The sequence below is a fragment of the Homo sapiens genome, chromosome 10 (assembly GCF_000001405.40).
Source record: "Homo sapiens chromosome 10, GRCh38.p14 Primary Assembly".
Classification (NCBI taxonomy): Eukaryota; Metazoa; Chordata; class Mammalia; order Primates; family Hominidae; genus Homo; species Homo sapiens.
In genome coordinates, this window is record NC_000010.11 from 88,593,238 (window position 1) to 88,605,813 (window position 12,576).

Sequence of the window (12,576 nt, forward strand, 5' to 3'; positions counted from 1 at the left end):
CCTTGGTGGAAGCATTTTCTCTCTGGAGACCAGGGCCTCTAGATATGTAGAGGCTAAAATTGTGAGAACAGATCCCTAAATGGGTTACTAGGAGTCATGGCAAGCTCTTGTTCCTCAGACTCCTGTATTCTACTTATTGGGGAATCACTAATATATTCTCACCATTTTTAAAAGATGTACAATAAATCCTGAAGGATAGTGCCCATACTTACAGGATGTCATCTCCCAGCTGGCTTTTTCCCAGCTGGCTTTTACTGAGCATTCAAGGGCTTGTTTCATTTTTCTATCAGGTTGGCAGCCTCTTGTTGGGAGTTATATGGTAGGACCAGTGGATACCATGGCCATGTGCCAATGGATGTGTCAACTTTGCTATGTAATTGATCCCTGATTTAAAATGTGTTACTTAAAATGTGTATGAGTGCTTGAATTACTATAAAATTTTTTATTATTTTCTCTCAGTAAAATGTACATATTTAAGTGTGATGTGACCTAATTGCTCACTTGGTTATTTGAAAGACATCCATTAGTGAACTGTATTAAACAGCTCTGTCATACAACGGGATTAAATCTTAATAACTTACCCCACTTATGAAAACAATTTTTTAAAATCTTTAAACTGTCATGTACTAAAAGTTTGAATTTCAGATAAAAGATTTTCATATAGATAACTACAAAATTTATAAAGAACTTTCTACATTTTTTTCTCAGCTCAGAGGGTTGTTGTATACTTGCAACATGGTTTGCTTACATCTGCCAGCAGCTGGATTTCCAATCTTCCCAACAATAGTCTGGGCTTCATTCTGGCAGATGCTGGTTATGATGTGTGGATGGGAAATAGCAGAGGAAATACCTGGTCCAGGAAACACTTGTACCTAGAAACGAGTTCCAAAGAATTCTGGGCTTTCAGGTACAAATAAAATGAAGTAACATTTCATTTTATAAGTGTATACAAATTTTTCATTTTGAATGCAATAAAATAAAATTTAGGTCTTACTATTTTCACAATTTAGGACTTTCCATAGACTATTACAATTTATGTGAATTTTTGCTTGAAAATTAAAGAGTACTTGTGTGATTTTGAGTTTGATTCTTACGTTTCAGCAATAATCTTTATTTCTTACTTAGTACCTTACTGACCAACCCCATCCTTCCTTTAACTACTCTTCTACTCTATAACTCATATATTTTGTCTACCCTACTCTATTTTTCATATACAAACACCCTCTTTATAAGACTGCCTTGTGATTTTATTTCCTTGAGTTTGAGTTCCCACAGAAGTCTCTATTCAGAAGATATATTATACCGTATAACTTCCTTATTAATAACTAGAGTAGAAAATTGCCTTTATTCAGTTATCTCTTCATTATTTTCAAATACTAACATAACATTAGTAGAAAGTGCTATTTTTATTTTCCTCTTTCTTTTGTAGTTTTGATGAGATGGCAAAATATGACCTTCCAGCCTCTATTGATTTCACTGTGAAGCAAACCAGACAAGAGGAAATATTTTATGTAGGCCATTCACAGGGTACTACTATTGGTATGCCAAGAAAGATTATTGCTAATATCCCTTAATTTCTTTTTTAAGGTTGTGCATATACTTCTTAAAGTTGTAGATAAGCTTCTAGACCTGTAAGTAAAACAAAAACTGTGAGACAAACATAGTACAGCAGAATGCCCTGGAATCTTACATGCTGCTTTGATCCCCCATGGAGTCTTCTCTAGTCACAAAGAATTGATTGTAAAGACAAGGTTGGTTGTGGTTTTGTTTGTTTCAAATTGTATAAAAGTTGGATATCTATGTTATTTAAGATCAAAGTGAGATTGCCACTATTATTTGTTCTACAAATAGAACTTTCACATTATTTTTCCTTTTAAAAATGTAGCATAGGATATTATGAGTGGAAAAGATGAAAAAGCTATGTATGTTTTTGCATTTCGGACTGATCAAACTTAAGAAATGAACAAAAATCAGGAAATTCTTTCTATATTTAAAGATGACTAGAAAAGAACTTTAATCAGAACTCTAATGCCTATCTAATACATAACAACTTTACTTTCGGAAATAAATGACCTATGACCTAACATAATTCTCTTGCATGGTACTGTAAACCTCTTTACCCACTTTGCAGGGAGAAAAAGCCATCTTATAATGAAGCTAATATTAAGTAAGTCATTTCTAAGCTGAAGACTATAATTTTCTTATAGAAATAATCCACTTCCTATTAGAAAAAGCATGTTGAGTAACAATCTAATCCCATTTTGTATAGATCTTTTCTCTGACATGTATTAGCCATATATGTGACTTTTAGTCCAAATTCTCATCAACTATTCAATTATTTAAAACCAGGAATGCCTGAAAATGTAGAAATAAGAAAAAAAAGTGAGTAATGAGTGTCAGAGCTTGTGGACTTACTATATGATATATAATTCTTTGGCTGTTTGGCTTCTCAGAACCTGACCTAAATAAATAAATAATAAATAAATAATCAATCAGAATATTGATGTGTAAGTAGATAGCTTGATAAGATGGCAAAGGGAAAAATGACTATTTTTCACATTAATGCCTCTAAATTGCCAATAAAATAAGATGCTTAGTATCCTCTGTATAAGAAGATAAGGAGTTTTAAAATATATTGAAGATAAATATTAAAATGATGGGACATTTATTAAGCCTGTCACCTAAATTATAAGATTCATCTGTCTGAAAATTTCACATATTTCATTTTCACCACTGCAAGTTATAAAAAATGTTCAATCTTGCTCCTAATTTTTAAACTATGGCATTACATGTCTGATTTATTGCTAAATTATCATTCTTTATGGTCTATACATTTTAGAAACCCAAATTATCAGCATTATATTATGATCAATATAATGTTGTATACTAGGTGATTTAAAAATGTTTGATAAATGAATTAAGAAATAAGTTAATTGTTCAGAAACTATTTTTGAACTTACTCTTATTCTCCTTGGTGTCATCTCTTACATGCTAGTAATTGCTTAAGAATAGCTTACTAATTTATATCTTATTTTATTTTAGGTTTCATAACATTTTCTACTATATCAAAGATAGCTGAAAGAATCAAAATATTTTTTGCTTTAGCACCAGTTTTTTCCACAAAGTACTTAAAAAGTCCTTTAATTAGAATGACATACAAATGGAAGTCAATAGTCATGGTATGTTCTACCTTTATTTTATGTCATTGATAACCCAAAGTGATAATTTTATGCTTTCAAATAAGAGATCTTGACTATACGTAGACAACCACAAGTATGGATTGAAATTTTTGGTTTCATTTACACTACATTCTTGTTTTTGTTTCTGCAAAGGAATACAATTTTACTTATTATAACTTTAGAACCCTACTGTGAGAAGAAATTCAGTGGCCAAACCATCTCCACACCCTGCTTCCAAGTTTTTTCCTTTATTTAAAATTTTCAAACTACTGTGAGATAATTTATTTGGTTTTATAGATAGTGAATTACCACAACATTTCTTTAGCACTTATTGTGGTCATCCAAATGTGGATAAAATAAATTTATTTTACAGGCTTTTTCAGGCAACAAAGACTTCTTGCCTAAAACCTCATTTAAAAAATTCATTGGTTCAAAGCTGTGTCCACTACAGATTTTTGATAAGATTTGCCTCAATATCTTGTTTATGATGTTTGGATATGACCCAAAAAACTTAAATATGGTAAGAACAAGTTGTATTTGAAATATATATATTTTCCAATATTTGGAAAGTATAATAATAATAGTGCTTGTGTTATACCTTGTGTCATTTTGTGTTTCATCCACATACACTAGTAGTCAGATTCTTAGCCTATCTGATTTTATGACTACACCAACATTGTACAACTAACTTGCATGAACATGCTGGGATTATTTTACTTCCATATTTGTCTTGCTGTCTGTAAATATTCGAGAGCAGCTGATGTGATGGGTATCTTTATTGACCTTTGCTATTGGGTATTAGTTTCCTGAGACTTCTAAGATTTAGGTCCTCTTCTATTCATTTGTTTCCTGTAACTCCATAACTGCTCCTCCTGGTTCCTAATACTCCTTCCTATCCTTGTTGATCCTTCCATAATTAGAATTAGTGCCTTCCAATTATCTTTAAGTTTCTAGCTTTTATCAATACTCTTGGAGTGGGAAACTATTGTGGTACTCAAGGTACTATTACCAAAACCTTTGGATTGATTGTGTATAGGTTCTCTTAAGAATATAGGCATTCATTCTAAGTGTTTTTCATCACATTAAATTAAACATCCAGATTTGGCAGAAGCAAATGTGCCATTTGGACTAGAGGTTGGTTCTTGTACCTGGACCTTTTAAGAGCTTCTCAAAGAGAGCCAATATAGACATTCAAAGAAAGATAGGTATTCTCTTAATTCCCAAACACATTTTTATGCCACAAGGACATGTTTGTTGACTTTGTTGATTTTGTTCAACCTTACTTTATTTTTAGAATGCTATAAGAAACTCAGTTCTCGTCTTTTCCACCCATAAAGATATGAGAAGGCAGAAAGGATTACTTTCATATTCCCTCTTTTTCATATTTTTCTGTTCATCTAGTGCTAAGCACCTACTATGAGGGGCCTGGAAGAATCATAAATACAATGTTTATTTTTACTTATCCACTCATTCTATGTTTTAGGTAGTATATTTGGCCAATTCTATATTTTTTTGTAATTATAATGTGATGTCTCTGAGAACTCTTTTTTGTGTATAAATTATTAGAAAAGCTTACACTCTGGTTTTCTAGCCTCCAAAACTGTGGCATTTCTTCTGCAACAGAAGTTGACAGTGTTGTAGATTGTAATATGACTGTGTCTTAATTTAGCTGAAATTGTAGGAAGTTGGAAGTAGAAAATTTTCACGCACAGTGTGTTTGGAAATAGTTAATTGTGAAACTGTGGTTCAGCTTGAATCAGTCTCTTGAGCCTAGCAAGATCTGTGGAGGAAGTAGGGTCTGGCTTAAAATTATTTGCTTAGAGCCAGTATGAAAAACCAAAAGAGAATCTGGTAGTTTGTGAAAAGGCAGTGAGTGGAATCTGACTGATGTCACTCAGGTGTGGAAAACCAACCAGAGAATTGAAAGCAAGTCATGAGAACTGAAAGCAAGTCATGATGCAAGAAAAAACAGATGATAAAAATGCTCACAATGTGACTTGGAAAATGTATCATCAAACAACCAAAGTTTTGACCTTGTCCAGGTGTTACAATTTTTTGGTGATGATTTACAAAAAGAAATTCTAACTCTTATGAGGGGAAATGAGGCTGAGATATCTGAGTGCAGCTGTCAAGGGTGTGTGATTATTATTTAGGTCCCTTTCAGGGAATGGATTCCTTCTTATCTTTCTGATAAAGGTGAAGTAGAGACTCTGGTAAACATTTCATATTGCTCACAGATAGGCCTGACAGGTGTTTATGAAAGCTACTGTGCACTTCTTCATCCAGAAGGATGAACAGAACAGTGCGATTTGGGTTGTATAAGCCTCTGACCTACATTAAGGTAAACAGTAGTGACCCATGATGGAAGGAATATCTGGAGTGTACCAGAAAACTAAGCATTATATTGGAGCTTATTTCAAATACAGAGAAGAATTATAATTAGAGGACATAATAAATACCTGAGTTTTAATTTATACCTGAGTTTAAATTTATATAATTTAATTATATTTAATAATATAATATTTTATATTGTATTTAATAATATAATATATTATATTATTACAATAATATAAAATATTATATTATATTATAATAATATATTATATTAATTTAATATATAGAGGACATGATAAATACCTGAGAAGAATGTTTCTGTTAAAAATTTCTGTACAGGCTATTTAAAATTGTTCAGTCAGAACTTTATTTTTGACAGTTTCAAGTAGCCTGAATGGCAATGGAAACAAAAGAAATTTTCTCTCTTTTTATTGAGGTACAATTGACAAATAAATACATTGTGAAATAATTGCCACAATCAAGTTTAACACATCTATCACCTCACATAGTCATATTTTTGGTGATAATGCTTAAGATCTATTCTCTTAACAAATTTCAAGTATACAGTACAGTATTATTAGCTAGTCACCATCCTGTACATTAAATCCTCAAAATGTATTTACTATATAACTGAAAGTTTATACCCTTTGACCACCATGTCCCCATTTTTCCCACCTGCCAGACCCTGGCAACCACCATTTTACTCTGTTTCTATGAGCTCACTCTTTTATTTATTTATTTATTTAAGATTCTACGTAGGAGTGATACCATACAGTACTTGTCTTTCTCTATTTGGCTTATTTAACTTACTAGTACCCTCCAGGTTCATGTATGCTGTCACAAATGGCAGAATTTTTTCTTTTCTATGGTTGATTAATATTCCACAGTGTGTATGTATGTATATATATACACATACATTTATATATACATACATATATACACACACACACACACACACACATATATATATATACACATCTTCAATCTGATGAGTCAATTTTTATGGTTTTTTTTGTTCTTATTGTTCCTCAAAGATATTTTAAAGCTTGTCTTTTATGTCTTCAGTTATAGTATTAACAATATTTTCATTTGACAATCTTTGCCTTTTAATTGAATTACAGTATTTAGTAAATTTATTTTTATATAATTATTAAGATTAGATTTATGGCTATCATCCTGCTATATGCTTTTTGTTTGTCCTATCTGGTATTCTTTTTATTTCACATTTCTTGACTACTTTTGTGTTTCTGAAATACATTTTAATACTTTACTTTATCTTCTCTTATTTTGTTACTGCTCTAAGAAATATTTTTTATTATTCTCTTAGAAATTATAAAATGTATCATTTATTATTACTTATGTTAAGTTTGTGTTTATATCCACATCCTAAATAATGCAAAAACTTTATACCAGTTTAACTGGGGTTCACTGTTTGGGATACACTGAATTTCTTTCATCAAACTTAAACATTCTCAGCCATTAGCATTTCAATTCTTTTTCTTCTTTCAAAATATTGGACCACTTGACAGTGGCCAACATCTTTCTTTGCTCTATTTTATTTTTCTTTGTGCTTAAGTTTGAATATTTTATATAGGCTTGAATTTGAGTTCAATAATCCTGTCTCTTGCTGTGTATAGTCTGCTTTTAAATCCATCTAATAAATTTTAAAGTTTATACATTGTATTTTTATTTTGAGTGTCCATTTGACTATAAAATAAATTCTAATTATCTGTTAAAATATTCTACCTTCATGACCATTTTAAACTTTAAAAAATATTTTATTTAGCATATTAATCATACTTTATTTTAAAGCTTTTGCTAACTCTAATGTTTGCAGCATCTCTGCATCTGCTTTTGCTGATTGTTTTATGTGCTAATTGTTGGCTGTGTTTTCCTGTTTCACTCTATGACTAGGAATGATTGCAGGGGACTGTGAATAGTATGCTGCACATTCTCTTGGTTAAATTACTGTCTTAGTGCATTTTGTGTTGCTATAACAGAATACCCAAGACTGGGTTATGTATAATGAACAGAAATGTATTGGTTCACACTTCTGGAGGCTGGGAAGTCCAAGATCAAGGCACTGACATCTGGCAATGGCCTTCTTGCTATGCCACCACATGGTGAAGGGCATAGGGCAAAGAAGCAACAATGAAGCAAAAGGGAGCCAAACTCACCCTTTTATTTTATCTTATTTTTTATTTTTTATTTTTTTTGAGACAGAGTTTTGCTGTGTCAGCCAAGCTGGAGTGCAGTGGTGCAATCTTGGCTCACTGCAACTTCTGCCTCCCGGGTTCAGGCAATTCTCCTCTCTCAGCCTCCCAAGTAGCTCAGACTACCGACACACGCCACCATGACTGGCTAATTTTTGTATTTTTAGTAGAGATGGGGTTCACCATATTGGTCAGGCTGGTCTCGAACTCCTGACCTCAGGTGATCCACCCACCTCGGCTTCCCAAACTGCTGGGATTTAATGGCATTAATCCCATCCATGAGGGCAGAGCCTTTACAGCTCAATCACCTCGCAAAGATCCCACCTAACACCACCACAATGGCAACCAACAGGAATTTTGGAGGGAACAAACATTCAAACCATGGCAGTTACCCTTTCAAGAGTTTTGGCTCATTTAGCTAATTGTCAGTGCCCATTTTTTGACTTTAGGGTTGGCCTTATTTCATTCACTTCTCTTTAATTCAGGAGACTACTTCTCCTGGTAATCTATGGCCTTTAGTCCAACTCTATAGCACCCACACAGACCGATTTCTGTTTCTTCTGCCCAGCAAGACTACCATTCTCTGTTTGGCTCTAATTCCCTGCACCATATTGGAAAATGTCCGCAGGATGAAAGTTGGGATTAATGAAAGGTTTGCTTCTTGTATTTTTCTTCTCTTAAGGTTCCTGTCCTCTGGTGGTTGCTTTACAATTTCTGTAAACCTGAATAATTTTTTATAGTCTGCATCTGATAACATCAAAAATATTTGTGAGGCTTCTTAAAATAATTTTTTTCATTTTTGCTTGTTCTTACATGATACCTCTCTCTTCATATACTTGCTTTTCTTTGAGTAGGGTTAACTGATTTTGAGAAATTTTTACTAAGAATTGGAATAGTAAGACAGGCCTTTTCTTCTTGTGGAAATAAAACTTGCTTGCTTTTTCAAGGCACCTGAGGTCACTTTGAGATCAGTACTCTACATGTCTGGTTCACTGAGGTTCCAGGAACTATCTAGGCAATGCAAACATAGATTACAGATTAACATTATGGCTTTACCTTGGGCACTATAGAATTTGAGGCCCTTATGGAGAGTGTTTCTTTTTAAAATCTTTCAACTTTGACAGGCCTTAGACTTTGATTTTTTGTTTTTTTCAACAAGCTAAGGTCTCAGAATGAAACTTCACATTCTCCTGGACTGACAAATAACCTTAAACAAACTGACTTTGTTTCTTTGCTTGTCTTTGGGGGTTCTTTATTTCTCTCCTCAATTTATTTTTGTAATTTACTTCTATCTTGTTAGTTCTTTAATGCTTTCAAAAGGTGTATGTGTATGTGTCTGTATAGGTGTGTGTCAGTCACATTTGATTGTTTCCAGTAGAGTGAGTGGCAGACGAAATAACTTAGAAATTCAATAATAGCTTCTATATTAATTTAAAAATTGTACAATTGAATAAGTATATTTAATTAAAATAATTTGATGATTTGTTTATTAATATGATTAATTTTAAATTAAATTTTCTTGAAATAATTTAGTTCAATAAATATTAAAAGATTATGCTCTCTATGATTCAACTTATATAAAAATGCTTTTTTTTTTTTTTTTACCCCTCAGAGTCGTTTGGATGTGTATTTTTCACACAACCCAGCAGGAACATCTGTTCAAAATATGCTTCATTGGAGTCAGGTATAACTGCTAAAGTGCATTTCCATACAATTTAATTCATGCTACTCATGGTTTACCTCATTATTCTAGGGATCATACCATGGCCATAGAGTAATAAATTTATAAGGATAAAATGAAATTATTATATATTTCTATAATTCCTTACAGTTTATAAAATATTGAGGCTGGGCGCAATGGCTCAGGCCTATAATCCCAGCACTTTGGGAGGCCGAGGCGGGTGGATCACCTGAGGTCAGGAGTTTGAGACTAACCTGGCCAACATGATGAAACCCTATCTCTACTAAAAATACAAAAATTAGCCAGGTGTGGTGGCACATGCCTGTAATTCCAGTTACTTGGGAGGCTGAGGTGGGAGAATCACTTGAACCCGGGAGGTGGAGGTTGCAATGAGCCAATACTGTACTGCTGCACTCCAGCCTGGGTGACAGAGTAAGACTCTGTCTCAATAAATAAATAAAAATAAAATGTTAGTATCATAATTTAATTAATTCTCTAAACCTAAGTACTGTTACAGCAATATAAATATCAGTTTTACAAATAAGAAAATGTTACAACAGTAGACTAGGGATTATTTAGGCCATGTCCCACAGTCGACTTGCCCAATGCTTCAAAGCTATTCCACTTTTAAAATCTGACCGGAACACAGTTAGTTATCCTAATGCCTACTCTGAAACGCTTTCACTAGACTGCACTTTCTCCTCCGTTAAATTGTCAACTCCTGAGAACCATGAGAAGTTTTGTTCACGTTTGTATTTCCAAGGTCAACAGTTCTTAGCATATAGTAGATACTCAACTAATATTTGTTCAATTAATGATATTGATAAAAAAAATCCAGTGTGAATGCAATCTTAATGTTGAAAACCAGGATAACATAGTAGAAAGAACACTTTTCTCAGATCAAAAGACCAGAAATTAAATCCTTTCTCTGGCCCTTAGTGGCAGGGTGACATTGAGCATCTCATTTAATCTTCCTGAATCAGTTTCCTTTATTTTTAAAGTAAAATTAATAATTCTCTGATTTAACTAAGAAAAATATTGTAAGAATTGAAAAGGCTAATGATTATGAATGTACATTAAAGTTAATAAACACTAGGTAACTTTAAAGTATTGTTAAGATATTGGGTAAGGCTTTTTCATTTACGAAAGTTTAAATCTATAATGTAATTGATTTGATATAAATTATTGAAAACATTTATTATAACTTATATTTAGGTAAGTTATACTTTCTTCTCTGGTGATGCGTAGACTAGAAAAATCTAAACAACCTTTGCAATTATTTAACCATTGTAACAATATTTATTGTATACCTACTATGTCCCTATAATATTCTGTGTTCATGGGCTACATCAGTGAACAAAACAAGAACTCCTGTCATCCTCAAGCTTACATATTATTTGTAGGTATATAGATTATAAACAATAACCATGTCAACTTTAAAAACTATTATAATGTGTTAGAAGGGAATAGAACTATGGAGAAATTGGGGTAAAAGAGTAGGGAAAAGGTATTAGGCATGCTGGGAAGTGGGTTGTACTTTTGAATAGAAAGGTTAGGCCAGGCTTCAGTGAGATGGTGACATTTGGAACATGGAAACTTAGGGAAAGGAGGCAAAAATAATGAGTAAGACAGGGATCTGCATGTCATTGTAAGGACTTTGGCATTCACTCTGTGTGAAGTGAGTAGGCACTGCATGATTTTGAGCAGGAAAGTGATATGATATAGTTTACACTTTTAAAAGGAACACATTGGCTGCTATGTTGAGTAGACTATAGTAGAACAAGAGTGAAAGCAGTGAGAGAGTTAGAAAATTACTGCAATCATCCAAATGGGAAATGATGATTGTTTGGACTGATGTGTTGACAGTGGAGGTGGTGAAAATGAATGGAGTCTGAATAAACATATGTATATCATGAACATGCAGGCAACAAGATTTAATGAAGGACTCTATAAGAGGTGAGTGAGAAAGAGAGTCTTGGATGATTCTAAAGTTCCTGACTTATGTAATGAAAAGGTAATATTGCCATTAAAGGAGATAGGGAGGTTTGATGATGAAGGTTTTGGAGGAAAGGTAAAATAAGTTTTAGATATTTAATTGATGACATTGAGTAAGCAGTTGTATATAGGAGCCTAGAATTTAGGAAAGACTTATAAAAGAAGATAAACACTTTGAATATAAATGACATGTAAAGCCAAGAGAGTGAGAATACAAAAAGCCAGAGGCAAAAATGCAAATGAAGTGAGTATAGACAGAAGAGCAAGATCCTTTCGAGCAAGGATTGGGTATTGAGATCTGAAAAGATTAACAGGTCAGGTGGCAGAAACTAAGTTGGCTAAACAAAGCTGAAAAGGAACAAAGTAAAAATGAAGATAAAGAAATTGTGGTATTCTAGAAGCTAAGTGAAGGAAAGATCTCAAGGATGAGGGAATGAACAACTATGTCAAGTGCTGCCAACGGATAACATGAAAAAGTTCCTCAGAATTGATCAAAGTGTTAGAAATGTCAAGGTCATAAGTAACCTTGGCCAGAAAGTGGTGGTGAGGCTGTGAGTGTAAAGGGGTAAAGAAAAAAGTGACTTCTGGGACAAACTCTTGAGCCCTATTGTTTGAAGCATGGTGTTTTAGGCGGGTGTTATCTTAGTCTCAGTGCAAGACACTCAGCGTTGACCTCTGTTGATGAAGCTGAAGATTTGAGGGAGCCTGATGTTACTTCTCCCAAAAGAGGCCCCCCTCTGGGTAGAAAAAGGCCCTGGGTATATGTACATTCATATAAAGACAATGGAATTATTTCTTTAGATTCCCCTGCCCCCATCTCCAACCCCTTCCATTTATTTCCCTATCCAAAGGAAAAGAAGAACGAAGAAGCCCACCTGCATAAATACCAGCAGACCCAGTACAATGGGGGTATATATGCATTGCATGCTTAACTTGCTCAGCTGCCACTGTAATGAACAAATGATATGGTCTTATTTTTTGTTTCTCTTTCAGCTTTTAAATTCTACTCATTTGAAAGCTTATGACTGGGGCAGTCCTGATCTGAACTTGGTTCATTATAATCAGGTACATAATTCTCTATAAAAACTCTCTACCTTACTGACTTTTTCAGATAACTTTGCTATAGATCAAGGATCAACTGTAAATCCCCACAGTACAATAACACACTGATTAA

The 12,576-nt window shown here is 33.3% G+C and overlaps 1 protein-coding gene across 10 annotated transcripts in view, besides 1 other annotated feature; it reads left to right on the forward strand.

Annotated features, from left to right (window-relative positions):
* LIPJ (lipase family member J) overlaps positions 1 to 12,576 on the forward strand; it is a 40,278-nt gene that overhangs the window by 10,331 nt on the left and 17,371 nt on the right. For 5 of the 10 annotated variants that reach the window (XM_006717635.4, XM_047424642.1, XM_047424643.1 and 2 more), the window contains exons 5-10: positions 709 to 907; positions 1,430 to 1,539; positions 3,043 to 3,179; positions 3,553 to 3,699; positions 9,339 to 9,410; positions 12,396 to 12,467. In XM_006717635.4, the coding sequence (XP_006717698.1) occupies positions 709 to 907; positions 1,430 to 1,539; positions 3,043 to 3,179; positions 3,553 to 3,699; positions 9,339 to 9,410; positions 12,396 to 12,467 (737 nt within the window). The other 5 variants (NR_172141.1, NM_001394640.1, XM_005269542.3 and 2 more) reach the window with 5 other exon arrangements.
* Positions 5,121 to 5,260: an enhancer, noted in NCBI's record as "active region_3724". NCBI's record gives its function as "activates an Ori minimal core promoter by ATAC-STARR-seq in GM12878 lymphoblastoid cells {active_cell/tissue: GM12878}" and the evidence as "EXISTENCE:reporter gene assay evidence [ECO:0000049][PMID:35858748]".